Source organism: Homo sapiens, chromosome 10 (assembly GCF_000001405.40).
Source record: "Homo sapiens chromosome 10, GRCh38.p14 Primary Assembly".
Lineage (NCBI taxonomy): Eukaryota > Metazoa > Chordata > Mammalia > Primates > Hominidae > Homo > Homo sapiens.
In genome coordinates, this window is record NC_000010.11 from 102,138,144 (window position 1) to 102,165,816 (window position 27,673).

A 27,673-nucleotide genomic window follows, 5' to 3' on the forward strand; every position below is an offset into this window, starting at 1 on the left:
CTGGGTGCCCAACCTGAATCCTTGAAGTGTATTTTTTGTCTCTAAGTGGGAATTAGGCTGCAGGCTGCCAGATTATGTCCCATGTAAGAATTCCTTTCCTAGCTTAGACTATAGTCCAAGGCCTTTCCCACTGTCTGGGCCCCTGAACTACATGTCCAGAGGATTCTGATCTCTGTTTTTCAGCTCATTTCTAGCCTAGCCGATGGTTGTCTGCTGAGCATCCCACATCTTATCTGAGGGTAGGGGAATGTGTGAAACCCAAGCTTGAGTCAAGTCTGACAGGTCTCTGTTGACACCAAGAGCTGGTGGATGGTAGCTGAGATTGGAATCCATGCCTTCTGGTATTCAGATCCTTCTCGCTGCCCCATTAGCTGAGTTGAACCTGGGAGACTGATTCTCTCGATATCCAGTCCTTAGTGGCATAGTAGGTCATTAGGGATGTTGGTAGGACCTTCTGGTTGTTTTTCTGGAGCAGAGCAGGTTATCTCTGGAGGACCAGAATGAAGTGTCGCTGCTCACGGCTCTGACGGAGATCTTGGACAATGCAGATTCTGAGAACCTTTCTCCATTTGACAGCATTCCTGATTCGGAGCTGCTTGTGTCACCCCGGGAGGGCTCCTCTGTGAGTGTGGGACCAGGGGAAGGGGATTAGTACAAAGTTTAGACCCATGCCTGTGGACCTACTCATATAGCTCTGAAGCATAGACTGATCTCAGGTCTTTCTTTCCCTCTTAGCTGCACAAGCTGCTTACTCTCTCTCGGACACCCCCAGAACGTGACCTCATCACCCCAGTTGACCCACTGGGGCCCAGTACAGGCAGCAGTAGAGGGAGTGGGGTAAGCCTGACCTAGAGGGTTTCAGAAACTCCCAGGTGGGAGGAGGAGTGTGTGGGGACAGGTCTGGAAAATACTTTCCCAAAGAAAACTCCTCCTGAGACCTCTCTTCTCTCCTGCAGGTTGAAATGTCTCTTCCAGATCCCTCTTGGGACTTCTCCCCACCCTCTTTCTTAGAGACCTCTTCCCCCAAGCTTCCTAGCTGGAGACCCCCAAGATCAAGACCACGCTGGGGCCAATCCCCACCTCCCCAGCAGCGCAGTGATGGAGAAGAAGAGGAGGAGGTGGCCAGCTTCAGTGGCCAGATTCTTGCCGGGGAGCTTGACAACTGTGTGAGCAGTATCCCGGACTTCCCCATGCATTTGGCCTGCCCTGAGGAGGAAGATAAAGCAACAGCAGCAGAGATGGCAGTGCCAGCAGCTGGTGATGAGAGCATCTCCTCCCTGAGTGAGCTGGTGCGGGCCATGCACCCATACTGCCTGCCCAACCTCACCCACCTGGCATCACTTGAGGATGAGCTTCAGGAGCAGCCAGATGATTTGACACTGCCTGAGGGCTGCGTAGTGCTGGAGATTGTGGGGCAGGCAGCCACAGCTGGCGATGACCTGGAGATCCCAGTTGTGGTGCGACAGGTCTCTCCTGGACCCCGGCCTGTGCTCCTGGATGACTCGCTAGAGACTAGTTCTGCCTTGCAGCTGCTTATGCCTACACTGGAGTCAGAGACAGAGGCTGCTGTGCCCAAGGTAACCCTCTGCTCTGAGAAAGAGGGGTTGTCATTGAACTCAGAGGAGAAGCTGGACTCAGCCTGCTTATTGAAGCCCAGGGAGGTCGTGGAGCCGGTGGTGCCCAAGGAGCCTCAGAACCCACCTGCCAATGCAGCACCAGGTTCCCAGAGAGCTCGAAAGGGCAGGAAGAAGAAGAGCAAGGAGCAGCCAGCAGCCTGTGTGGAAGGCTATGCCAGGAGGCTGAGGTCATCTTCTCGCGGGCAGTCTACTGTAGGTACAGAAGTGACCTCTCAGGTAGACAACTTGCAGAAACAGCCTCAGGAAGAACTTCAAAAAGAGTCTGGGCCTCTCCAGGGTAAGGGGAAGCCCCGGGCTTGGGCTCGGGCCTGGGCAGCTGCCTTGGAGAATTCTAGCCCTAAGAACTTGGAGAGAAGTGCTGGACAAAGTAGTCCTGCTAAAGAAGGCCCTCTAGACCTCTACCCAAAGCTGGCTGACACTATCCAAACCAATCCTATACCAACCCATCTCTCATTGGTCGACTCTGCCCAAGCCAGCCCCATGCCAGTTGACTCTGTTGAAGCTGATCCCACTGCAGTTGGCCCTGTTCTAGCTGGCCCTGTACCTGTTGACCCTGGGTTGGTTGACCTTGCTTCAACCAGCTCAGAACTGGTTGAGCCTCTCCCGGCTGAGCCAGTGCTGATCAACCCAGTCCTGGCTGACTCAGCAGCAGTTGACCCTGCAGTGGTTCCCATCTCAGATAACTTGCCACCAGTTGATGCTGTCCCGTCTGGCCCAGCACCAGTTGATCTAGCACTGGTTGACCCTGTTCCTAATGACCTGACTCCAGTTGACCCAGTGCTAGTTAAGTCCAGACCAACTGATCCCAGACGTGGTGCAGTGTCATCAGCCCTGGGGGGTTCAGCACCCCAGCTCCTCGTGGAGTCAGAGTCCTTGGACCCACCAAAGACCATCATCCCTGAAGTCAAAGAGGTTGTGGATTCTCTGAAAATTGAAAGTGGTACCAGTGCTACAACCCATGAAGCCAGACCTCGGCCTCTCAGCTTATCTGAGTACCGGCGACGAAGGCAGCAACGCCAAGCAGAAACAGAAGAGAGAAGTCCACAGCCCCCAACTGGGAAGTGGCCTAGCCTTCCAGAGACTCCCACAGGGCTGGCAGACATCCCTTGTCTTGTCATCCCACCAGCCCCAGCCAAGAAGACAGCTCTGCAGAGAAGCCCTGAAACACCCCTTGAGATTTGCCTTGTGCCTGTAGGTCCCAGCCCTGCTTCTCCTAGTCCTGAGCCACCTGTAAGCAAACCTGTGGCCTCATCTCCCACTGAGCAGGTGCCATCCCAGGAGATGCCACTGTTGGCGAGACCTTCCCCTCCTGTGCAGTCTGTGTCCCCTGCTGTGCCCACACCTCCCTCGATGTCTGCTGCCCTGCCTTTCCCTGCAGGTGGGCTTGGCATGCCCCCCAGTCTGCCCCCACCTCCCTTGCAGCCTCCTAGTCTTCCATTGTCTATGGGGCCAGTACTACCTGATCCGTTTACTCACTATGCCCCCTTGCCATCCTGGCCTTGTTATCCTCATGTGTCCCCTTCTGGCTATCCTTGCCTGCCCCCCCCACCAACGGTGCCCCTAGTGTCTGGTACTCCTGGTGCCTATGCCGTGCCTCCCACTTGCAGTGTGCCTTGGGCACCCCCTCCTGCCCCAGTCTCACCTTACAGTTCCACATGTACCTATGGGCCCTTGGGATGGGGCCCAGGGCCTCAACATGCTCCATTCTGGTCTACTGTTCCCCCACCTCCTTTGCCTCCAGCCTCCATTGGGAGAGCTGTTCCCCAACCTAAAATGGAGTCTAGGGGCACTCCAGCTGGCCCTCCTGAAAATGTACTTCCCTTGTCGATGGCTCCTCCCCTCAGTCTTGGGCTACCTGGCCATGGAGCTCCTCAGACAGAGCCTACCAAGGTGGAGGTCAAGCCAGTGCCTGCATCTCCCCATCCGAAACACAAGGTGTCTGCCCTGGTGCAAAGTCCCCAGATGAAGGCTCTAGCATGTGTGTCTGCTGAAGGTGTGACTGTTGAGGAGCCTGCATCAGAGAGGCTAAAGCCTGAGACCCAAGAGACCAGGCCCAGGGAGAAGCCCCCCTTGCCTGCTACCAAGGCTGTTCCCACACCAAGGCAGAGCACTGTCCCCAAGCTGCCTGCTGTCCACCCAGCCCGTCTAAGGAAGCTGTCCTTCCTGCCTACCCCACGTACTCAGGGTTCTGAAGATGTGGTACAGGCTTTCATCAGTGAGATTGGTGAGTGACACACAGTTCCCCCATGTAGTCCCCAAGTTGGCTGGGGGACTCTAGAATAGGATAAGCCACCCTGATGAGGCTGGCCTTTGTTGGATTTCTTTGGAGGAGTTTTTTTGTTTTTATTTTGAGATGGAGTCTTGCTCTGTCTCCAGGCTGGAGTGCAGTGGTGCAATCTCGGCTCACTGCCTCCCAGGTTCAAGCAATTCTCCTGCCTCAGCCTCCCAAGTAGCTGGGACTACAGGTGCCCGCCACCACGTCTGGCTAATTTTTCTATTTTTAGTAGAGACGAGGTTTCACTATGTTGGCCAGGTTGGTCTCAATCTCCTGATCTCGTGATCCGCCTACCTCAGCCTCCCAAAGTGCTGGGATTATAGGCGTGAGCCGCTGCACCATGCCTTTTTTTTTTTTTTTTTTTTTTTTTTTTTTTTTTTTGAGATGGAGTCTTCCTCTGTCGCCCAGGCTGGAGTGCAGTGGCGTGATCTCGGCTCACCGCAACCTCCGCCTCCCGGGTTCAAGCGATTCTCCTGCCTCAGCCTCCCCAGTAGCTGGGATTACAGGCACTCACACCCACGCCCGGCTTTTTGTATTTTTAGCAGAGATGAGGTTTCACCATGTTGGCCAGGTTGGTCTCAATCTCCTGACCTCGTGATCCGCCTGCCTCAGCCTCCCAAAGTGCTGGGATTACAGGTGTAAGCCACCGCCCTTGGCCTGTTTTTGTTTTTAAGAGATGAGGTCTCACTGTGTTGCCCAGGCTGGACTTGAACTCCTGGGCTCAAGTGGTCCTCCCACCTCAGCCTTCCAAGTAGCTGGGATTTATAGGCACAGGTGTGTGCCACCGTGCCTGGCTGTGGAGGGTTCTTCAGAGGCAGAGCCCTGGGTTGGTTTGAATCCTTCATGCTTTGTGCTGCTACCTTGGTTCACTTAGTACAGAGGGCAGGGGGAGTGGAAAGGGAGAAGTGAGATGATTTGGGGGCTTCCTGGGACCTGTGTACTAAGTTGATAGGGGCTCGTTTTCAATCCTGTGTTGTGTGCCTCCACAGGAATTGAGGCATCGGACCTGTCCAGTCTGCTGGAGCAGTTTGAGAAATCAGAAGGTGAGGGAACATGGGTAGTTTTGCTCCAACTCTTTTTTTGGTGATACTTTTTTGGGCCCAGCCCTGTAGTTGCTTAAACTAGGGTGAGAGGGGACAGCCTTAGCCACTGGAGCAGACCCCTAATTGGAAGAGAGAGACAAGATTGAACTGTGACGGTAATCCAAGCCAGGGACGGCAGTGATACAGTAAGGAAGGTATTAAAGAGTAGACTGGGAATCCAGGCCAGGCGTGGTGGCTCATGCCTGTAATCCCAGCACTCTGGGAAGCTGAGGCGGGTGGATCATGAGGTCAGGAGTTTGAGACCAGCCTGGCCAACATGGTGAAACCCCGTATCTACTAAAAATACAAAAATTAGCTGGGCGAGGTGGCGGGCACCTGTAATCCCAGTTACTCGGGAGGCTGAGGCAGGAGAATTGTTTGAACCCAGCAGGCAGAGATTGCAGTGAGCCGAGATCGTGCCATTGCACTCTAGCCTGGGCCACAGGGTGAGACTCTGTCTCAAAAAAAAAAAAAAAAAAAAAGGAATCCAAGCAGGTTGGGGTTGTTTAGGGACATTTTTCTAGAGGGAAGTAGCTTTCAGGCTGGGCATTGAAAGACAGGTAGGAATTCACAGAGAGAATATGTGTGGCAACTAAAGGCAGAGGGTAGGTATAGGAAGAATGGCATATGGCACATTTGAAAGGCAATGGATAGCTGGCTTTCTTAGTATAAGGCGTGGATGTAGGTGCTATGGAGGACACTATCTTCTTCTCAAGGAGCTTATGGTCTAACTGGGGAGAAGAATCTACAGAAATGATTCCTGAGTTGGTAACAAGGCAAAATAGAAAATGTGATTTGTAGAACAAGAGTAGGCTGTGAGGCCAGGAAGCTAGTTAGGCAGATCATAGATCACCTTGAACGCTAGGCTTATACATTTGGACTTTATCTCAGATTCAGTGGAGGAATGTGGGTGTTTCTGAGCAGAAAAGAGACATGATTAAAAATAGTACTTGGGCATCCACTGGAGGAGACTAGATCTCTTTGGGGAGATCCCAACAGGGAATATGTAGGCAAAGTGGATTTTCCTCCTTTGGGTCTCAAAGCAAGCCCTTCTGTGCCGCCTCAGTCTAGAACATCTGGTTGGGCTTTTAACTAGTATGGTTTCTTTGCAGCCAAAAAGGAGTGTCCTCCTCCGGCTCCTGCTGACAGCTTGGCTGTAGGAAACTCAGGGTAAGTATGGAGACATGAGCGAGTTACCCTACAGCTGTTAGTCAGCAGCCGGCTGACACTCCAGGACTGTCAACTGGATGCCTCTGTTGCAGGGACGCTGTAGTCAGCTCTAGAGTCTTTCCCTGTTTCCCCACCCCTTACTCTGCCTATCACTACCGGGCAGTGTCTTGGGTGGTGAGGTGAGAACGGGGCATGTTCACTGCCCTCCAGCTGATTCCAGTCGGGCTCCAAATGTCCTAGAGGTGCCTTTTATCTCCTGGCAAGTCATACCTTTGGGGATTTCTTTCTTTCATTTAATAACACTTCAAGTTTGCTCAGTGCTGGTAATGGTGTAACTTAAAGTGGAGGAAGATGTTAATGGCTAGGAGTCATTTTTCATGTTCATGATCCTCCATCCTGTTCTGCCAAGCATGTTCCCCTCCACATTGATTTCAGGTTGGTGTGAGCTGGGCAGGTGAGACTCGATGTGAAGGAGGTGGGGGGTATTCAAGGTCATGGCCAGCCTGCCTCTTGGAATTGGGCAGGGCTCAGTTGAGATCCAATTTGTAGTTCAGTCAATAAGACCCTTTTGTGCAGGAAGAAGATGATGGAGGCAGTTTGTGCATCCCATTCTTCTCTGCACCCACCCCCTCCCATTGATTTCTGAGAAAGGCAAATGTATAAGATATTGAGAAGGCAATGAATCAGGCTTTCCCTTTTCCCCCCCCGCCAGCGGCGTTGACATTCCCCAGGAGAAGAGGCCCCTAGACCGGTTACAAGCCCCAGAACTGGCCAACGTGGCAGGTGGGTTCAGGGTGGGGAATTCTGCCTGTGATTAGTCTATGCAGCAACACTTGCTGAGCCTACTCCAAATCCATTGTGTGTAGGCGTTAAGGACATAGAGATCTGATCTCCAGCCTTGAGATACTCACAGTCTAGGGGGCAGACTTGTAAACGAATGAGCATGTTGAGTATCAGGTGCTATGTTACAGCCTATGGGCTAGGCGCAGTGGCTCGCGCCTGTAATCCCAGCACTTGTGGGAGGCTGAGGCAGGCGGATCACTTGAGGTCAGGAGTTCGAGACCAGCCTGGCCAACATGGTGAAACCCTATCTCTACTAAAAAAAATACAAAAATTAGTTGGGCGTGGTGGTACACGCCTGTAGTCCCAGCTACTTGGGAGGCTGAGGCAGGAGAATTGCTAAAATCCAGGAGGTGGAGGTTGCAGGGAGCTGAGATCGTGCCACTGCACTCCAGCCTGGGGGACAGAGCAAGACTATCTAAAAAAAAAAAAAAATGTCGGGCGCGGTGGCCCACGCCTGTAATCCCAGCACTTGGGGAGGCCGAGGCAGGTGGATCACGAGGTCAGGAGATCGAGACCATCCTGGCTAACATGGTGAAACCCCATCTCTACTAAAAATACAAAAAAATTAGCCGGGCGTGATGGCGGGTGCCTGTAGTCCCAGCTACTTGGGAGGCTGAGGCAGGAGAATAGCGTGAACCCAGGAGGTTGAGCTTGCAGTGAGCTGAGATTGCGCCACTGCCCTCCAGCCTAGGCGACAGGGCAAGACTCTGTCTTTAAAAAAAACAAACAACAAAAAAAAACAACCATGGATTACAGTGAGATGTGAAGAGGGACAGTCAGGGAAGGGTTATATAGAAACTAATCCCCTAAGCTGAGGCTTGAGAAACTCTATCAGGTGGTAGATTTAGGGAACAGGGCATTCTAGGAAGACAGAGCATCTTGAATGAACTGAAGAAACAAAACCAACTGGGTATGTTTTGGGGAATTGTGAGAGGCTTGGTTTGGCTGGAGTGTAGTAGCTGATCAGGGCAGTGGGCAGAGGTAAAGCGAGAGATAAAACTGGAGTGGTAAATAGAAGGTCAGATTATTGGGACCTCGAATGCCATATTAAGCTCTTTGGACTTTATCCTGTGCATTGAAGAAACTTTGCCAGATTGGTTTTTGGGTGCTCCATCTAGCAGGAATGTAGAAGACAGGTGGACTCTGAAGCTGCAAGTGGGGAGACGATAGATGATGACTGCATGAGTGCAGGAAAGATGCAGCCTAGAAGTCAGGCAGTACTCGGGGGAAGGGGCGGATCTGAGAATGGAGAGCTTAGACTCTAGGACCTGGCTACTAGGTTTGGGTAGTGAGAGGATGAGGGCTTCAGGAAGACCCTAGCTGGCTGGATTTCTCTTGCTGGTCCCCAAGTTGGGGAACATGGGGAAGGGGCAGTTGAAGCAGTGGGAAAAGTTGGGCTGCTTACCTTGCTTGGTGTACTTTGTGAGATGAGGTGGGGGTCTCTGGAGGCTATATACACGGTATTTGGAAGCGTAGAATCGGATCTCATCCTGCTATCTCCATCCTCCCTCCCCACCACAGGGCTCACCCCTCCAGCTACCCCTCCCCACCAGTTATGGAAGCCCCTGGCTGCTGTCTCACTGCTGGCCAAAGCCAAATCTCCTAAGTCCACCGCCCAGGAGGGAACCCTGAAGCCTGAAGGAGTTACGGAGGCCAAACATCCAGCTGCAGTTCGCCTCCAAGAAGGGGTCCATGGCCCTAGTCGAGTCCATGTGGGCTCTGGGGACCATGACTATTGTGTCCGGAGCAGGACCCCCCCAAAAAAGATGCCTGCCCTAGTCATTCCAGAGGTGGGCTCCCGATGGAATGTCAAGCGCCATCAGGACATCACCATCAAACCTGTCTTGTCCTTGGGCCCAGCTGCCCCTCCGCCCCCATGCATAGCTGCCTCCCGGGAGCCGCTTGATCACAGGACTAGCAGTGAGCAGGCAGATCCCTCAGCACCCTGCCTTGCCCCATCCAGCTTGCTGTCCCCTGAGGCCTCACCCTGCCGGAATGACATGAACACTAGGACTCCCCCTGAACCCTCAGCCAAGCAGCGGTCAATGCGCTGTTACCGAAAAGCCTGCAGGTCAGCCAGCCCCTCAAGCCAGGGCTGGCAGGGCCGCCGAGGCCGCAACAGCCGTTCTGTCAGCTCTGGGTCCAACCGGACTAGCGAAGCATCTTCCTCATCCTCATCATCGTCTTCCTCATCCCGATCTCGGTCCAGGTCCCTCTCCCCCCCACACAAGAGGTGGCGAAGGTGAGCTTTGATGGCCCTGTAGGTCCTCTCCATTTAGGAAGTTCACGTACTTCTGTGGTTTACTTTGAAAGCTTTTACCCGTTGACTTTGGTACTTTCAGGCGCTAAGGCTTCTATTTCTGACTTTGGCTTTTGTGTTTTCCCTTTTCCTGGATTGTTGAAGGAGGCAAGCTGTGAGACAATTGCTTCTGTCCCCTGTTGGAGCTTGGGGTGTCAGGTCTCCTGCTTCTTTGAGACCTGCCTTGGGGAGACTTTTAGGGTTTGATTTTGACCATGTTGATTTTTTTCACATACTGTATCAGCCTTCATTTTTGGTATTCTGGGCGCTATGTGAGGTAGTGGGTTACTTGTTAATAGAAAATAGTTCTTCCCTTAATCATCTGCTGAGGAAGGTGTCTGGGGCAGTTCCTTTGGGTGTCACTATGGCCTCATCTATTTCCTGGCAGTATCTTTTTTTCTCAGTAACCAAGTTTTCCCACTTAATGAAGAATTCTTGGGTTTTGGAGATGATATATGTCTTCAGAACTGGCCCATACTACAAGTCTAGCAGTTAACCTCTCTCATGGTCACAGTATTTCAGTGAGACCTGGTAGGGGAGCAATAGTAACCCAAAAGACCCAGGCTTGGCCCCAGCACCACAGATAGCTGGGTGTGAGACCTAGGGCTCACCCCTCTCCCTGAGTCTCCATTTATTGTTCTTCCTCTTTCTGATTTGTTAAATATTTTTCAATTTTTAAGTGCACAATTGAAAATGTGATCTCTTCCAAAACACTTCACAACATTCCAGGTACACCTAAAGTTCCATGAAGGGCCTCAGTTTGTTCATCTCTGAATGAAAATTGTTCTTCTAGACCTCTTCTACTCTGCTTTGTCTTTGGTCCTGAGCTTCCTAAAAGAAAGGCAGGACTGGGGCCTGGGTGAGATAAGCAGAGTATACCTGAACCACTCCCAGCATTCCTGCATGCCCTCTTATCCTTCAGGTCCAGCTGTAGTTCCTCTGGACGTTCTCGAAGATGCTCTTCCTCTTCTTCGTCATCATCTTCCTCTTCGTCTTCCTCATCCTCATCATCCAGTTCTCGAAGCCGCTCACGATCCCCATCCCCCCGCCGGAGAAGTGACAGGAGGCGGCGGTGAGCATGTGTTCAGGGAGCGCCATGCACCTGGGATGCAGGTGCCTAAGAGTTGAGTCTTGAATTGTCTTATGTTTGGGGGGCTGATGACACCCTCTTTTGTCAGGTACAGCTCTTATCGTTCACATGACCATTACCAAAGGCAAAGAGTGCTACAAAAGGAGCGTGCAATAGTGAGTAGAGGAACAGATCATGGGAGGATGGGGCTTACCCCCTGAGCCTTGAGCTCAGAGAGCTGCCTGCAGCTGTAGCCCTGGCTAATGGTGTGTTGATTTTTTTTCATTTCCAAACATAGGAAGAAAGAAGGGTGGTCTTCATTGGAAAGATACCTGGCCGCATGACTCGATCAGAGCTGAAACAGAGGTTCTCCGTTTTTGGAGAGATTGAGGAGTGCACCATCCACTTCCGTGTCCAAGGGTAAGCTTGGGCCCCAGGCTCAGGATGTTCTTTCTATCCCATTCATCTACCTTGGTGTTTCTTTGTCTTGCCTCCTTGCTCTGGTGTGCTGAGCAATATGGGGCACCTTCATTTCTGCAGTCAGAGGGTTGGCCACTGGGAATGAGAAGAACCACCTCTGTACCTTGGGATGCTGTGTCTCCTCTATGGCATGGGCCCATATAGCCACTCCAGCCCCTGCCTCACTCTCCTCCTACTAGGGACAACTACGGCTTCGTCACTTATCGCTATGCTGAGGAGGCATTTGCAGCCATTGAGAGTGGCCACAAGCTGCGGCAGGCAGATGAGCAGCCCTTTGATCTCTGCTTTGGGGGCCGAAGGCAGTTCTGCAAGAGGAGCTATTCTGATCTTGGTGAGTGGAGGGAGGGCCTAAAGCTTTGGAATGCTTCATCCCCTCCCCAGAAGGGTTCCTAACCCTTTGTGAGTGGGGCTAGGCAGACTTACCTTAGTTTGACATACAAAGAACCCAAGGGGGCTGGGCATGGTGGCTCACGCCTGTAATCCCAGCACTTTGGGAGGCTGAGGCAGGCAAATCACGAGGTCAGGAGTTCGAGACCAGCCTGGCCAACATGATGAAACCCCATCTCTACCAAAAATAGAAAAAATTAGCTAGAGGTGGTGGCACGCACCTGTAATCCCAGCTACTCGGGAAGCTGAGGCAGGAGAATTGCTTGAACCCAGGAGGCGGAGGTTGCAGTGAGCTGACATCACAACACTGCACTCCAGCCTGGGCTACAGAACGAGACTGTCTCAAAAAAAAAAAAAAAAAAGACCCAAGGGGTGGGACGAGAGGAGAAATGGGGACTGGGGACTCTCCTATCTCTTTGACTTAAAATTAGAGCAGTTTTCACTCCATCCGTTTTTGGGATGGGAGATAGCTAGCCATTTGCAGACCCTGTGGTTGGGAAGTGTGGTCAGAGACCTTGAAGTTTGTCTTTACCTTTATAGACTCCAACCGGGAAGACTTTGACCCAGCACCTGTAAAGAGCAAATTTGATTCTCTTGACTTTGACACATTGTTGAAACAGGCCCAGAAGAACCTCAGGAGGTAACCTTGGGCCCTTCCCTGCTATCCTTTTTCTCCTTTGGAGGTGCCCAACCTCCTCCACCCCCTTCCCCTACTCTAGGGGAGAGAGCTGCTAGTGAGATGACTGTTTTATAAAGAAATGGAAAAAAGTGAAATAAAAAATATGTTGAATCAGATTTTTTAAAAGGGGTATTTGTTTTTTTATAACAGGTATTGAAACAAGTTAACTTGCATTCCTATGTAAGATAGGAGGGGCTGAGGGGATCCCCAGTGTTTGGAACATAAGTCACTATGCAGACTAATAAACATCAACTAGAGAGAACTCCCAACTGCTGTTGTGCGTCTTTATATGGTGCTAATGCCAAATGTATTCACTTTTCCTATCTGAACATGGTCCAGGGACATGCCTCTCCCTGGTCAGGTGCAAAAATCCCACTGGATTTGAACCTTGGTTCCTCAGATGTATTGTCTAAAATGAGTCATTTAGGACAGTGCTTCTCAACTTTAAAGGGAATTTGAATCATCTAGCGATCTTTTTAGAATGTAGATTCTGACAATGGGATGATGATACTGGTCCAGGAAGGGATTTTGATAACAAGGACCTAGAGAAGCTCACACTTGTTCCAAAGAAAGGTTTTCTAAACTGCGACAGGTGTATACATTCATCATGTCAGTTATGTTCATCATTTTATAATAGCTTGAGCACACTGCATGGCACAGCAGGTGCTCAAATGTTTTAAATAATGCATGCATGTGGGTAGAACAGGAAGCGTGGGGAAGAGGGAACTGTGGAGTTTTTTGTTTCTGTTTTTGAATTTTTTTGTTTTGTTTTGGAGATGGAGTCTTGTTCTGTCTCCCAGGCTGGAGTGCAGTGGCACGATTTTGGCTTACTGCAACCTCTGCCTCCCGGGTTCAAGTGATTCTCCTGCCTCAGCTTCCTGAGTAGCTGGGATTACAGGCACCCGCCACCATGCCTGGCTAATTTTTTTTGTATTTTTAGTAGAGACAGGGTTTCACCATGTTGGCCAGGGCTGTTCTTGAACTCCTGACCTCAGGTGATCCACCCACCTTAGCCTCCCAAAGTGCTGAGATTACAGGCATGAACCACCGTGCCCAGCTTTGTTTTTGATTTTTGAGATAGGATCTCACTCTGTGGCCCAGGCTGGATTGCAGTGGCAGGATCATAGCTCATTGCAGCTTTGACCTCCCTGGCTCAGTTGATCCTCCTGCCCCAGCCTCCCAAGTAGCTGGGACCACAGGTGCATGCCACTACACCTGGCTAATTTTAAAAATTTTTTGTAGAGATAGGGGGGTTTCACTGTGTTGTCCAGGCTGGCCTCTTAACTCCTGGGCTCAAGGGATCCTCCCACCTAGGCCTTCCAAAGTGTTGAGATAACAGTTGTGAGCCACTATGCCTGGCCAATTTTATATAGGAGAGGGGGGTGTGTTCCCATGAGGATCCTTATCTTTCCTGAGCGGCATTAGTGGGAGGTAGCCAAGGGGTAGTGGGTAGGATTGAAGGGATTGCTAACTGCTAATATCTGGAATGTGGCAGAACTTGGAATTAACTTGGTAGGTCTGAGCATTGATACTGGAGTTACTCATGACAAAGGCATTGATACTGGAGTTACTCATGACAAAGGCAGAGTGTGAACTCTGATCCCGGAGGAAGAAGGGTTATTTTCAACAATCTCTTCAGCTTGAATAGATTGTTGCTGTGTGTGATTCAGGTTTGGTGCATGACACCTTTCCTCTTCATGGAGCTGACCTAAGGCGGAATATAAGGGAGATGGGAGGGGCAGCTTGGGAAATCAACACCTCCCACCCTCACGACGGATAACCCGAAGGATCTTCTGCAGCAGAGGCAGGAGTCTGGAGGCTGGGATGGTATCAGAAAGGGCCTCCCTGGGTATTGGAGGCAGTGAAGATGAAGGGCGAGAATCCATTGGCCGTGCCAGTACGCCATGGGGGCGGTTGGGAGATCTTGTAGAACAACTGTTCGAGCCCGCTTGTCCACTCATTACTCTGGAATCCGAGTCCCAGCAGGGGCGCGGGAAACCGCTGCTCTGAGAAAAGGTACCTCCCCCAGAAAGACTGCGCGGGAAGTCCCGAGTTTTCCCGCCACGCCGAGGGCGTGATCCCTGACGTCAGAGCTCCGCCTCCACAAGCTGGCGGCCGGTGGGCTCCGCCCTTAACCAAGATGGCGATACGCGTGGGACCGGAAAGAGTTTATAGATTTCCCGTCTACCCTACCTCTGAGGTGAAGGTGGGACTGCCCTGTGGAGCCCACCCTTTCCGTTATGCGCCCGCGCGGCGCAATGACGTAACACAGGCCCGCCCACTGCCCCTGTTGGGTTCCTGAGTCGTGCTGCGTCGACAACGGTAGTGACGCGTATTGCCTGGAGGATGGCGGACGCCGGCATTCGCCGCGTGGTTCCCAGCGACCTGTATCCCCTCGTGCTCGGCTTCCTGCGCGATAACCAACTCTCAGAGGTGGCCAATAAGTTCGCCAAAGCGACAGGAGCTGTGAGTTCCGGGCTTGGGGCGGGGACCGGGCTGAGATGACCACAAGGCTTCAGGCCCTGACGTGCTTAGGTTTCCAGGTGGGGAAGTCTGGGGGTCCGCCAGTCCAGTGTCTGCAAGGCCTTTACGCCGACCCCTCGGCAGTGACCAGAGAAAGCCTGCGGCCTCGGTCGCTTACCTTCCTCCATGTCTGAGTAGATATCGCTGAGTCTTGTTGCTTTTTTCTTGTGACCTGTGCAGCGGCGGCAGCGTGGGAGCCTCGTGGCCCCAAGCCACATGGCTGGCAGAGTGCAGCGGGGAGGTAGAGTCTTGTTCCACTGAGGACGTTGGTTCTTCGGCATCTTCTGGGGGGCTTTTCGTTGGGTGAGGCAAACCGTGATTTGACCTTAGCCTCAGTCACATTTACTGGGATTCAAAAGCAAGTGAAATTTCTTTAGAATGAAGTCTGGGATTTTCGTTTGTAAAGAAGAAAATGAATGAAAGTAGAAGCAGAGTTTTGTTTTGAGTTACACTGAGAATTGAGAGTCATCAACAGCCCTACCAAGTAGGCATAGTAGTGGGCTTGGAGCTTTGGCTAATTGAATCAAACAAACCTAGGTTTGGGACCAGGCTCTGCCACTTTTTAGATACGTGACCCGGGCAGTTTATTTAACCTTTCTGAGTCTTTCTACAGGGATGTCATCATCCACTTTATAGGATTTTTGTGAGTTTCAGTAAGATGATGTGTAAGAGTAGCAATCTCAGTGCTGGTACAGAGGAATCTTGTAAAAGTGAAAGCTGTACCATAGTTATGGCAATTTAGGATGCTCCAAACACATGTAAGAGTAAGAGAACCAGGAATGTGAAAGGTTTGTAATCTACATCAACGGACATTCCTGCATGGGAAGACACTTTGAGAGAGGAGAGAGGGGGGGTCTTCAGCAGGGATGATAGCATGACTAGGAAGGATGGCTTGCACTTTTAGCAGAATCAGGCTGCGAAAGCAAAGAATCAGATCAGCCTCAAAACTTCCTTAAGCTGGGACAGGCTGCCATGTGATCTAACTGCTTTCTTAATGAAACTGTTTAGAGTTGACTGTTAAGGAGACTGCGGAGAGTGCTTTCACAGTGGACTGGATGGAATTGGACATTTCAGAATTAGGATTCTTTTTTTTTTTTTTTTTTTTTTGAGACGGAGTCTCTGTTGCCCAGGCTGGAGTGCAATGGTGCGATCTCGGCTCATTGTAACCTCCGCCTCCCAAGTTCAAGTGATTATCCTGCCTCAGCCTCCCCAGTAGCTGGGATTACAGGCGCGTACCACCACGCCCGGCTAATTTTTGTATTTTTAGTAGAGATGAGGTTTCACCATGTTGGCCAGGCTGGTCTTGAACTCCTGACCTCAAGAAATCCACTTGCCTCAGCCTCTCAAAGTGCTGGGATTACAGGCGCGAGCCACCGTGCCCGGCCTCAGGATTAGGATTCTGAAATGGTTTTATGTGAGAAAAGCTAATCTTTGTGAAGAGCTAACTAAGGGTCAGATGCTACGCCCTTCACATGCATTTAATTTTTTTTTTTTTTTTTTTTGAGGCGGAGTCTGGCTCTGTCGCCCAGGCTGGAGTGCAGTGGCACGATCTCAGCTCACTGCAACCTCTGCCTCTCAGGCTAAAGTGATTCTCCTGCCTCAGCTTCCCAAGTAGCTGGGACTACAGGTGTGCCCCACCATGCCTGGCTAATTTTTTTTTTTTTTTTTTGTATTTTTAGTAGAGACGGGGTTTCACCATGTTGGCCAGGCTGCTCTTGAACTCCTGACCTCAAGAATCTACTGCCTCGGCTTCCCAAAGTGCTGGGATTACAGGTGTGAGCCACCGCACCCGGCCAACATGCATTATGTCTTATCCTCTCAATAACTTAATGAGATGTGTAGTATTATCTCCATTTTATAGAAAAGAAAATAATCTCAGGGAGATAAGGTAATTTGTCCAAAGGTGAGTTCCCATCTGTACTGACTCTGATCATTTACTCTTTTTTGGACCACAGAGTCTCACTGTTGCCCAGGCGGGAGTGCAGTGGTGCAATCTCAGCTCACTGCAACCTTTGCCTCCCAGGTTGAAGCGATTCTTGTGCCTCAGCCTCATGCCTCAGCCTCCCAAATAGCTGGGATTACAGGCGCCCGCCTCCACGCCCAGCTTATGTTTGTATCTTTAGTAGAGATGGGGTTTCACCATACCAGCCAGGCTGGTCTCAAATTCCTGATCAGGTGATCCACCCACCTCAGCCTCCCAAAGTGTTGGGATTACAGGCCCGTGAGCCACTGCACCTGGCCTGATCCTGTACTCTTCTGTGTATTGTTTTGTGTTTGTTTGTTTCTTTTAGAGGGTCTCACTCTGTCGCCCAGGCTGGAGTAAAGTGATGCAATCATACTTCGCTGTAGCATCGAACTCCTGGGCTCAGGCAATCCTCCTGCCTCAGTCACTGGGGTAGCTAGGACTACAGACATGTACCACCACACCTGGCTAATTTTTTTTTTTTTTTTTTTGTGACAGTTTCGCTCTTGTTGCCCAGGCTGGAGTGCAATGGTGCAATCTCGGCTCACCACAACCTCCACCTCCTGGGTTCAAGCGATTCTCCTGCCTTAGCCTCCTGAGTAGCTGGGATTATTACAGGCATGCGCCACCACGCCCAGCTAATTTTGTATTTTTAGTAGAGACGGGGTTTCTCCATGTTGGTCAGGCTGGTCTCGAACTCCCGATCTCAGATGATCCACCCGCCTCAGCCTCACAAAGTGTTGGGATTACAGGCGTTTAGCCACCACAGGCCAAGCAACCGCAGTGCCATTGCAATCCAACCTGGGCGACCAAGAGCGAAATTCCATTTCAAAAAAAAAAAAAGAGAGAGAGAGAGAGATGGAGGTCTCACTGTCTTGCCCAGGCTGGTCTTGAACTCCTGTCCTTAAGTGATCCTCCTGCCTTGGCCTGCCAAAGTGTTAGCGTACCTGCGCCCGGCCTGAATGCATTTTTTTTTTTTTTTGAGACTTACTCTGTCGCCCAGGCTGGAGTACAATGGTGTGATACTGGCTCACTGCAACCTCAGCCTCCTGGGTTAAAGCGATTCTCCTGCCTCAGCCTCCTGAGTAGCTGGGATTACAGGTGTGCACCACCATGCCCAGTTAATTTTTTGTGTTTCTGGTAGAAATGGGGTTTCACCATGTTGGCCAGGCTGGTCTCAAACTCCTGACATCATGATCTGCCTACCTCGACCTCCCATAGTGCTGGGATTACAGCAGACCTGAGCCACCGTGCCTGGCCCTTAAATGCAGTTCTTTACATTCAATACAGTACTTACTAGTCTTGTTTCTTTCTTTTTTTTTTTGAGACAGAGTCTTGGTCTGTCGCACAGGCTGGAGTGCAGTGGCGCGATCTCAGCTTACTGCACCCTCCGCCTCTGGGGTTCAAACGATTCTTCTGCCTCAGCCTCCCGAGTACCTGGGATTACAGGCGCCTGCCACCACACCCGGCTAAGAGACAGGGTTTCTCCATGTTGGCCAGGCTGGTCTTGAACTCCTGGCCTCAGGCGATCTGCCCGCCTTGGCCTCCCAGAGTGTTGGGATTATAGGCGTGAGCCACTGCATCCCGCCTGGAGGCTTATTTCTAATGATTTGGTATTATAATCCACATTGCAGGAAAAACCTTCTTGTATTAGTGTTTGTACCCTCAAGTAATGGATAAGATTACATTCTTAGATAGTACATTGCTAGAGTAAAGAGAGAGCCTTTTTTTTGGCAGAGGGGTAGAGATGGGGGTCTTGCTATGTTGCTTAGGCTGGTCTTGAACTCCTGGCATCCAGTGATCCTCCTGTCTCAGCTTCCCAAAGTGCTGAGATAACATGAGATAACAGGCATAAGCCACTGTGCCCAGTCAAAAGTGATTTTTTTTTTTTTTTGAAATGGAGTCTTGCTCTTGTTGCTCAGGCTGGAGTGCAGTGGCGCGATCTCCTAGGTTCAAGTGATTCTCCTGCTTCAGCCTTCTAGGTTCAAGCAATTCTCCTGCTTCAGCCTCCCAAGTAGCTGGGACTACAGACATCTGCCATCATGCTGGGCTAATTTTTGTTTTAGTAGAGATGGGGTTTCACCATGTTGGCCAGGCTGGTCTTGAACTCCTGACCTCTTGATCTGCCTGCCTCGGCCTCCCAAAGTGCTGGGATTACAAGCATGAGCCACCGTGACTGGCTGATTTTTTGTTTTGTTTTGTTTTAGGACTTTGATCAATATAGATTGGCAGGCAGGGGGTTAGATGGTTAGATGGTGCCGCAAACATAGGAGTAGCCCGTTTTTTACATCAGAAATTGGGAAATCCACAAATAGAATATTTTTCTCCTGATTTATGCACGTAGCAAAAGTTTTATGAAGATGTAACATTTATACCAAATTTAGTAATTATGTATGTAACAGGCCACATTTAATGAAAGCATAACCAGGATAAAATAATTTCCTTACCCAGCTCTTTTTCTTCTACAGACACAGCAGGATGCCAATGCCTCTTCCCTCTTAGACATCTATAGCTTCTGGCTCAAGTAAGCCTTTCCTGTTCCATTTTGGCTATTTTCTCCCCCAAGATAGGCTGGGCTGTGTTTCTTGGTTTGGGAAGATTCCAGTCCCCTAGAAATTGGTCCAATCTACCTCAGCAGGTCTGCCAAGGTCCCAGAGCGAAAGTTACAGGCAAATGGACCAGTGGCTAAGAAAGCTAAGAAGAAGGCCTCATCCAGTGACAGTGAGGACAGCAGCGAGGAGGAGGAGGAAGTTCAAGGGCCTCCAGCAAAGAAGGCTGGTAAGGCAGAGTAGCAGGTGGGCTTGGTGGTGCCAGGAAAAGAATTTACAGCCTGCTTGTTTCACATGGCTGATTCTTACTGGGACCTGTGTGTTTGTTCAGCTGTACCTGCCAAGCGAGTCGGTCTGCCTCCTGGGAAGGCTGCAGCCAAAGCATCAGAGAGTAGCAGCAGTGAAGAGTCCAGTGATGATGATGATGAGGAGGACCAAAAGAAACAGCCTGTCCAGGTTTGCAGCTTTGGGAAGAAAAAGGGGTTTAAGGATTAGAAAGGAAGAAACCTAAAATCTTGGCCTCTAGCTTGTAACCAAGGGGTGATGGCGGCAATACAATAGGTGATTATGAGGAAGAAAATCTGGGGATTTTCAGGGAGCTGATAAAAGTATGAGGTCTGGAAGGGATGTGTGAGGTTGAGGTCAGGCTCCGAATCTAGAGGAAATTAAACCCATTCTGCTTGAGGAGTTTGGGTTCTTCTGGGACACTATTCAGGGCTCCAAGAATAAGAGAGAGTGTTTTCCTGGGAGCTTTGGCAGGATAAGGCAGGAACAGGGCCAGTGTATCAAGTGGCTGAACTTTGTTGTTTTTTGCCCTTTCCGTATCCTGTCCTTAGCTTTCTTTTGCTCTTACTGCTCCATTAGGCCCCTAAAAATAAAAGGAACCTAGGATGCCCTTTGGGTACCCGGAAGCTTTTGCTGATTTCTCTCCTTGTGTCTTTTCTAACAGAAGGGAGTTAAGCCCCAAGCCAAGGCAGCCAAAGCTCCTCCTAAGAAGGCCAAGAGCTCTGATTCTGATTCTGACTCAAGCTCCGAGGATGAGCCACCAAAGAACCAGAAGCCAAAGATAACACCTGTGACAGTTAAAGCTCAGACTAAAGCCCCTCCCAAACCAGGTACTGTTTCTGTTCCCAAGAGGCTGGGCTGGGGACCAGATTGCTCTGGGGACTGGAGTTAAAATTGCCGATTTGGCACAGGGGTGAAATGGTACTGTTTGTTGAACTGGAGGTGTTGATTACTGGTCTTTTAATTTTAAAGGTTTTACTAATAAATAACAAGATTTCATAGGAGCTAGTAAATAGAGAAAGTTATTGCAGCAAGAAAAAATGTGTATTTTTTTTAATGGTATCCATTTGGTATTTTGTGACATTTCATAGACATTTTATGTTTTCACACATCCCATTCCACTGTAATCACTTAAATATCTATTTGTTGTGCTTTTCACTGCCATTTTTACTCTTGTATGTTCATTCTATGAGACAAATGAGAATTTTTCTTTTTTTCTGTAACTTGTGATGAGGGTTAGGTTATTTCTCTGAATGGAGGTTGAAGTGAAAGATTTTAGAGGGCGTATTGAGATTATTTATGTCATCTTTTCTAAGAAGACAGTTTTATTCCTGCCATGGGATAGGAAAGGTATCCTTTGATGTGGTAAACCATGGCTGGCATTCTCCTCGATGGCTGCTCTAAAGTTGAAAGAATTGGTGGACTCCTGGCCAGGCACAGTGGCTCACACCTATAATCCCAGCACTTTGGGAGGCTGAGGCGGGCGGATTGCTTGAGGTCAGGAGTTCAAGACCAGCCTGGCCAACATGGCGAAACCCTGTGTCTACTAAAAATATAAAAATTAGCTGGGCATGGTGGTGGGCACCTGTAATCCCAGCTACTCCAGAGGCTGAGGCGGGAGAGTTGCCTGAACCACTGCACACTAGCCTGTGCAACAGAGCCAGAGCCAGACTCCGTCTCCAAAAAAAAAAAAAAAAAAAAAAAAAAAAATGGTGGACTCCTAAGTTCTCTGCTCATAGGAAGGAGGTTTTTCATGGTCCTGACTTGCCCTAATACTCCTTACTCTTTCTTTTTCTTGGGTATTCCAGCTCGAGCAGCACCTAAAATAGCCAATGGTAAAGCAGCCAGTAGCAGCAGTAGCAGCAGCAGCAGCAGTAGCAGTGATGACTCAGAGGAGGAGAAGGCAGCAGCCACCCCCAAGAAGGTCTGGACCATAACTTCTGTCAGGGCAGAGGTGACCAGGGTGTGATGTGTGTGTGTCTTCCTTCCCTGGCAGGATTGGTTGGGTCAGCATTTTCCTGTGGTAATCAATTTTCTTTCTAATGCAGACTGTACCTAAAAAGCAAGTTGTGGCCAAGGCCCCAGTGAAAGCAGCTACCACCCCTACCCGGAAGAGTTCTAGCAGTGAGGATTCCTCCAGTGACGAGGAAGAGGAGCAAAAAAAACCCATGAAAAATAAACCAGGTGACTGGACATGGGGAGCGAAGCTGTGTGACTGTGGTCAGGGCCCAGCTGCAGTAACCACATGGACCTCTCCATAGAGGTGCATGAGCGTCCTCATGACATGACAGCTAGCTTCTCCGAGCACTAGTGATCCAGGAAAGCAAGGAGAAATCTCCAGTGCCTTGTGTAACCTAGACTCAGAGGTGACACCATGTTCTGTTAGAACTGAGTCATTGATTCTGGCCCATACTCAAGTGAAGGGGAATTAAGCTTCATTTCTACAAGAAAGTAGTATCAAAAAAAGTTGTAGACATATCCTAAAACCATCACACTATCCTTTTTAAACAGGTCCCTACAGTTCAGTCCCCCCGCCTTCTGCTCCCCCACCAAAGAAGTCTCTGGGAACCCAGCCTCCCAAGAAGGCTGTGGAGAAGCAGCAGCCTGTGGAAAGCAGTGAAGACAGCAGTGATGAGTCTGGTGAGTCAGAGGGATGCAGCCTCCCCTCAGCGTGGGTCTGGAGGAGGGGATGAGGAATAAGGGAGAGAGAAAGCCTTCCATCCTTCGGTTGCTTTTTGCTTAAAGCAAGACAGAGCTAAGGCTCTGTGCGTGTCTTTGCATTCTTTTTATTGCTGTCCTGGTTGGGTTGGGACTCTGGACCCAGCATAATGCTACAGGTTCTCCTCAGATTCAAGTTCTGAAGAAGAGAAGAAACCCCCAACTAAGGCAGTAGTCTCTAAAGCAACCACTAAACCACCTCCAGCAAAGAAAGCAGCAGAGAGCTCTTCAGACAGCTCAGGTAAGGCATATGGAGGCCCTCAGTTCAGTGAGATGCTCTCAGGCAGCTGCTAAGGGCTCCCCTGAATCCAATTTGGGGAGCTGTTGATTCCATCCCTTCTGTGTCTAGACTCTGACAGCTCTGAGGATGATGAAGCTCCTTCTAAGCCAGCTGGTACCACCAAGAATTCTTCAAATAAGCCAGCTGTCACCACCAAGTCACCTGCAGTGAAGCCAGCTGCAGCCCCCAAGCAACCTGTGGGCGGTGGCCAGAAGCTTCTGACGAGAAAGGCTGACAGCAGCTCCAGTGAGGAAGAGAGCAGCTCCAGTGAGGAGGAGAAGACAAAGAAGATGGTGGCCACCACTAAGCCCAAGGCGACTGCCAAAGCAGCTCTATCTCTGCCTGCCAAGCAGGCTCCTCAGGGTAGTAGGGACAGCAGCTCTGATTCAGACAGCTCCAGCAGTGAGGAGGAGGAAGAGAAGACATCTAAGTCTGCAGTTAAGAAGAAGCCACAGAAGGTAGCAGGAGGTGCAGCCCCTTCCAAGCCAGCCTCTGCAAAGAAAGGAAAGGCTGAGAGCAGCAACAGTTCTTCTTCTGATGACTCCAGTGAGGAAGAGGAAGAGAAGCTCAAGGGCAAGGGCTCTCCAAGACCACAAGCCCCCAAGGCCAATGGCACCTCTGCACTGACTGCCCAGAATGGAAAAGCAGCTAAGAACAGTGAGGAGGAGGAAGAAGAAAAGAAAAAGGCGGCAGTGGTAGTTTCCAAATCAGGTCTGTACCCAATGAACATGCCCTCTGGGTTTTGTCCCCCCAAATCAGGATGGGATATACTCTTTGAGAGTAGGGTAGTGAGAGGAGGCCCACCACTGGGCTTCCAGTTGTGGAAACTGGGAGGAAGAACAGGAAACTGGTTACCTTTTTTTTTTTTTATTAGAGTCTCACTGTGTCACCCAGACCAGGGTGCAATGGCATGATCACGGCTTGTGCAGCCTTAACCTCATGGACTCAGGTGATCTTTCCACCCCAGCCTCCTGAGTAGCCGGGACTACAAGCATGCACCACCATGTCTGGCTCATTTTTTTAACTTTTTATAGAGACAGAATCTCACTATATTGCCCAGGCTGATCTGAATTTCCTGGGCTCAAGCGATCCTCCTACCTTGGACTCCCAAAATGCTGGGGTTACAGTTGTGAGCCACTGTACTCGGCCTGAGTCTGGCTTTTTGTTTTGTAGGTTCATTAAAGAAGCGGAAGCAGAATGAGGCTGCCAAGGAGGCAGAGACTCCTCAGGCCAAGAAGATAAAGCTTCAGACCCCTAACACATTTCCAAAAAGGAAGAAAGTAAGTTGTCTCACTTTCTTCTCAGGAGCCAGCTCTTTAAAAGTAGAAAAATCTAGGATCATCTTGACAGCTCTGCCTGGCGTGACCTGGTACATGTGCCCATGTGTATCACTCAGGAGAACTGTTACATGACCACTCTGTCTTTAATTTCCTACTTCATTCTTCTGTAGGGAGAAAAAAGGGCATCATCCCCATTCCGAAGGGTCAGGGAGGAGGAAATTGAGGTGGATTCACGAGTTGCGGACAACTCCTTTGATGCCAAGGTGAGAGAGAGATCTGTGCCATTCTTGGGAGGGAGGATGGGTAGTGTCAGAGAGGACAATTCTTGGTTCAGGTTGGTGGGAATCTTCTCTGGGTTCAGGTTTCCTTGAGCAGGGAGTAGAAAGAATAAAGTGACAGGGCTCCAGCATGGTCCTCCTCTGTGTTAATCTCCCTCTCTACTTACCAGCGAGGTGCAGCCGGAGACTGGGGAGAGCGAGCCAATCAGGTTTTGAAGTTCACCAAAGGCAAGTCCTTTCGGCATGAGAAAACCAAGAAGAAGCGGGGCAGCTACCGGGGAGGCTCAATCTCTGTCCAGGTCAATTCTATTAAGTTTGACAGCGAGTGACCTGAGGCCATCTTCGGTGAAGCAAGGGTGATGATCGGAGACTACTTACTTTCTCCAGTGGACCTGGGAACCCTCAGGTCTCTAGGTGAGGGTCTTGATGAGGACAGAAGTTTAGAGTAGGTCCTAAGACTTTACAGTGTAACATCCTCTCTGGTCCTTTTCTGTGTTCCTAGTTTTGTACAGACTTGTTTTTGAGTGTTGAGTAGCAGGGACAAAATAAGGGAATGTTATTTTTTAAGAAAATTCATTTTCATTGTTGTCTCCTTCCTTTTCTGTGAAAGTCCTCATACTGAGAAATTTGTATATTTTATATTAAATCACTTACTATTGATTTTTGTTGTGATTTTCAAAGGTGGATTCCCACAGATAAAATCTTGGCTATTGCCCAAAACATAGTAAAGGGTCACGTGTGACTTTTTATAATAGGAAGAAAATTCTGCCTTTGTGAGTGCACATGTCCACATTTCATCCCTCCTTCCCTCAAAACCCTAGAGAGGGGCATTAAAGAATTGTTGATGTATATGCAATGTCTGTTAAGCATGCACTATGTATTTCATCCTCATTTATTGGGTCTGGGACTGAAGTTTTTAGCCAGCATGGACCTAACCTACTTTTTGGGATAAAATTCTCTGTTTTGTTACAGGCAAAATTCTGGTATGGCGTGAATGCCATGGGTCATTCTGAATATATTTTTTTCTGTAATTTTATCATTACACGATGTTTGCAATACGTGCTTTGTTTTTTAATTTGAAAGCAAACTTTTCTACTGTTGAAAGACATTTTTTGACAACTTGACCCTTCCTAGTATTGAGTTCTAAGTTGAGGACTGCATCTTCTCGTTTTTTACAGTATAGAGAACAAAATGACATGAGTTTGAAAAATACATATCACTTGGTATTGCTGTCTTGGTTGCAGTGGTGATACAGAATTGGTTTCATTAATTCCTACATGGTTGAGAATCACTGATCAAGAAAGTGGGGGGAAAAAAAACAAACGTTAAAACCTCAATCCTCAGTAGGAAGGTAGATTACATTAGGTGAAATTATAGGTAATCTATGTATGTGCTAATGGGGTTGGAAAGAACCTTACAGAGCATATTACCTGATAAACTGGAGTGGGTTTGGGAGAACAAACTAATAGGATTATTGTGTCTCCTAGTTGGTACCTGGGAGCAATTGACATGCCCCCTTCAGAACCTTAACTGTTAGTAGCAGTGGCTGTAACAACACAAACCAGTGACCAGAGATAACAGCTTTTAGGCCAAGCTGGCCTGACGGTATGGCTGCAGGAAGTGACTGAGCAGTAGCGGTACTCAGCCAGACCAAGACGGAGAGGGAAGAGTCCACAGCTTTCTGGAAGCTAAGGCATTCTGGTGGTAGAAAAGTGTGCCCCAAGCCTTCATGGACGAGTTATAGGTCTTAAGATTAGTCTCCTCTTGTTTGGATTCCATACTTGCTAAATAACCTGATAATAACCTGGTTTTCCATGTAACTGCCTCTAGGAAGAAAATGTACTGTTCATGCTGACACAGATATTTCAGTCTGCATGGTAAAAGTTCTAAATCTTACTACAAAATAATAAACTGGCTGGTTTATAATGTGTCTTGGGAGTTTTATTATTGTGAGTCTAAACCCCTCCCACCCCCTACTCAAACCAGAACAACTTTGGTGCCAGTTATAGGACTGGGGTCCAGACCTGTGATTTCACTGCAGAGGCTTTTTGGCAGCAGCTTGTCTCACGGTGCCTTTTCCAGGCTATATTCTAGCCTACGCATAGTCCAAATTGGGGGTTGGCAAAATGGCCTATGGGTCAAATCCAGCCCATGGTTTGTTTTTGTATTACCTAGGAGCTAAGAATGGTTTTTACATTTGTAAAGGTCTTTTAAAAAGAGAATGTGTGACAGAGATCTTATCAATGGCCCACAAAGCCTAAGATATTTAGGATGCGGCCCTTTACAGAAGAAGTTTGCCAATCCCTGGTCTAAATCAGCGATTCCTAAGACATCAGCTGAAAATTAGAATCATCTGAGGAACTTAGAAGCACGGATACTCGCAAATCAAAACCACAATGAGATACCATCTCACACCAGTTAGAATGGCGATCATTAAAAAGTCAGGAAAGAACAGGTGCTGGAGAGGATGTGGAGAAATAGGAACACTTTTATACTGTTGGTTGGACTGTAAACTAGTTCAACCATTGTGGTAGACAGTGTGGCGATTCCTCAGGGATCTAGAACTAGAAATACCATTTGACCCAGCAATCCCATTGCTGAGTATATACCCAAAGGATTATAAATCATGCTGCTATAAAGACACATGCACACGTATGTTTATTGTGGCACTATTCACAATAGCAAAGACTTGGAACCAACCCAAATGTCCATCAATGATAGACTGGATTAAGAAAATGTGGCACATACACCCCATGGAATACTACAGCCATAAAAAAGGATGAGTTCGTGTCCTTTGTAGGGACATGGATGAAGCTGGAAACCATCATTCTCAGCAAACTATCACAAAGACAGAAAACCAAACACCGCATGTTCTCACTCATAGGTGGGAATTGAACAATGAGAACACTTGCACACAGGGTGGGGAACATCACACACCAGGGCCTAATGTGGGGTGGGGGGAGGGAAGGGATAGCATTAGGAGATAGATATACCTAATGTAAATGACAGTTAATGGGTGCAGCAAACCAACATGGCACATGTATACATATGTAACAAACCTGCACATTGTGCACATGTACCCTAGAACTTACCCTAGTATAATATAAAAAATAAAAAGAAACACGGATACTCAGGGGCCCATCCTGAGATCTATTGAGTCAGACCCTGGTGCTGTCTGGTGAGGCCCGGGCACTAGGGTATTTTTAAAGCTCCCAGATGATTCTAATGAACAGGTAGAGTTGAAAACCGCTTATCTAAAGAGTATTTGAAAAGAAGTGAATTGGTATTTCCCACCTTCATGCTTCCATTTTCAAATATACTTGTTAAAAATAATAGTATAAAATGAAAATTTCAGGCCAGGTACAGTGGCTTACGCATGTAATACCAGCACTTTGGGAGGCCAAGGCAGACGGATCACCTGAGGTCAGTAGTTCGAGACCAGCCTGGTCAACATGGTGAAACCCCGTCTCTACTAAAAAATACAAAAATTAGCTGGGCGTGGTGGCACGTGCCTGTAATCCCAGCTACTCGGGAGGCTGAGGCAGGAGAATTGCTTGAACCCTGGAGGTGGAGGTTGCAGTGAGCTGAGATCGTGCCACTGCACTCCAGCCTGGCGACACAGTGAGACGCTGTCTCAAAAATTTAAAAAAAAAAAAAAAAAATTTCATCTCAGCCCTGTTTCCTGGAACCTGCTTCTGTGTCTCCTTCCAGACAGTTTCTAGGTATGTGCTACTATATGCATCCTCCCCTCCTTTTTTTCTTGGCACAAATGGGGCAGTTCGTCAAGTGCAATGTTTTGCAACTTTCAGAGCTCAATTCATAGCAGAACACAGCAGCTCATTTTTAATGGCTATATGGTACTCTGTTTTAAGTTAT

At 49.1% G+C, this 27,673-nt stretch overlaps 2 protein-coding genes across 29 annotated transcripts in view, besides 4 other annotated features; both read left to right on the forward strand.

Annotated features, from left to right (window-relative positions):
• PPRC1 (PPARG related coactivator 1) overlaps nucleotides 1–12,190 on the forward strand; it is a 30,445-nt gene extending 18,255 nt beyond the window's left edge. For 7 of the 25 annotated variants that reach the window (XM_047424879.1, XM_024447914.2, XM_047424878.1 and 4 more), the window contains 12 exons: nucleotides 476–622; nucleotides 736–837; nucleotides 957–3,861; nucleotides 4,902–4,955; nucleotides 6,107–6,164; nucleotides 6,877–6,947; nucleotides 8,529–9,249; nucleotides 10,229–10,378; nucleotides 10,485–10,551; nucleotides 10,674–10,795; nucleotides 11,035–11,186; nucleotides 11,783–12,190. In XM_047424879.1, the coding sequence (XP_047280835.1) occupies nucleotides 476–622; nucleotides 736–837; nucleotides 957–3,861; nucleotides 4,902–4,955; nucleotides 6,107–6,164; nucleotides 6,877–6,947; nucleotides 8,529–9,249; nucleotides 10,229–10,378; nucleotides 10,485–10,551; nucleotides 10,674–10,795; nucleotides 11,035–11,186; nucleotides 11,783–11,886 (4,653 nt within the window). In that variant the 3' untranslated portion in view covers nucleotides 11,887–12,190. Of the gene's footprint in view, nucleotides 1–475; nucleotides 623–735; nucleotides 838–956; nucleotides 3,862–4,901; nucleotides 4,956–6,106; nucleotides 6,165–6,876; nucleotides 6,948–8,528; nucleotides 9,250–10,228; nucleotides 10,379–10,484; nucleotides 10,552–10,673; nucleotides 10,796–11,034; nucleotides 11,187–11,782 lie in introns of those variants that run through there. The other 18 variants (XM_011539551.3, XM_047424884.1, XM_047424883.1 and 15 more) reach the window with 15 other exon arrangements.
• Nucleotides 95–1,294: an enhancer, noted in NCBI's record as "CDK7 strongly-dependent group 2 enhancer chr10:103897995-103899194 (GRCh37/hg19 assembly coordinates)". NCBI's record gives its function as "activates an origin of replication core promoter dependent on BRD2, BRD4, P300/CBP, MED14 and CDK7 cofactors, with strong dependence on CDK7, by STARR-seq in HCT116 cells {active_cell/tissue: HCT116}" and the evidence as "EXISTENCE:reporter gene assay evidence [ECO:0000049][PMID:35650434]".
• Nucleotides 13,732–14,931: an enhancer, noted in NCBI's record as "CDK7 strongly-dependent group 2 enhancer chr10:103911632-103912831 (GRCh37/hg19 assembly coordinates)". NCBI's record gives its function as "activates an origin of replication core promoter dependent on BRD2, BRD4, P300/CBP, MED14 and CDK7 cofactors, with strong dependence on CDK7, by STARR-seq in HCT116 cells {active_cell/tissue: HCT116}" and the evidence as "EXISTENCE:reporter gene assay evidence [ECO:0000049][PMID:35650434]".
• Nucleotides 13,837–14,136: an enhancer, noted in NCBI's record as "active region_3923". NCBI's record gives its function as "activates an Ori minimal core promoter by ATAC-STARR-seq in GM12878 lymphoblastoid cells {active_cell/tissue: GM12878}" and the evidence as "EXISTENCE:reporter gene assay evidence [ECO:0000049][PMID:35858748]".
• NOLC1 (nucleolar and coiled-body phosphoprotein 1) lies at nucleotides 14,246–25,727 on the forward strand. 4 transcript variants are annotated; one of them, XM_005270273.3, is made up of 13 exons: nucleotides 14,246–14,387; nucleotides 18,876–18,931; nucleotides 19,043–19,185; nucleotides 19,288–19,412; nucleotides 19,906–20,071; nucleotides 21,050–21,195; nucleotides 21,290–21,425; nucleotides 21,753–21,881; nucleotides 22,090–22,200; nucleotides 22,309–22,950; nucleotides 23,413–23,519; nucleotides 23,690–23,782; nucleotides 23,968–25,727. In XM_005270273.3, exons 1-13 carry the CDS (start codon nucleotides 14,268–14,270, stop codon nucleotides 24,124–24,126), a joined length of 2,133 nt encoding a protein of 710 aa, XP_005270330.1. In that variant the 5' UTR covers nucleotides 14,246–14,267; the 3' UTR covers nucleotides 24,127–25,727. The 4 variants fall into 4 exon arrangements, with proteins under 4 accessions (XP_005270330.1, NP_001271318.1, NP_001271317.1 ...); NM_001284389.2 differs by having other exon boundaries at nucleotides 21,050–21,165; NM_001284388.2 differs by having other exon boundaries at nucleotides 19,046–19,185.
• Nucleotides 14,307–14,356: an enhancer, noted in NCBI's record as "active region_3924". NCBI's record gives its function as "activates an Ori minimal core promoter by ATAC-STARR-seq in GM12878 lymphoblastoid cells {active_cell/tissue: GM12878}" and the evidence as "EXISTENCE:reporter gene assay evidence [ECO:0000049][PMID:35858748]".
• Nucleotides 25,728–27,673: the final 1,946 nt, after the last annotated feature.

Bases quoted from the DNA above. Each gene is read 5' to 3' on its own strand.
- NOLC1 (XM_005270273.3), top strand. From the start codon at position 14,268: ATGGCGGACGCCGGCATTCGCCGCGTGGTTCCCAGCGACCTGTATCCC. The intron at 18,932-19,042 runs GTAAGCCTTTCC...AATCTACCTCAG, and splicing joins ATCTATAGCTTCTGGCTCAA to CAGGTCTGCCAAGGTCCCAG. The intron at 23,783-23,967 runs GTGAGAGAGAGA...TCTACTTACCAG, and splicing joins ACAACTCCTTTGATGCCAAG to CGAGGTGCAGCCGGAGACTG.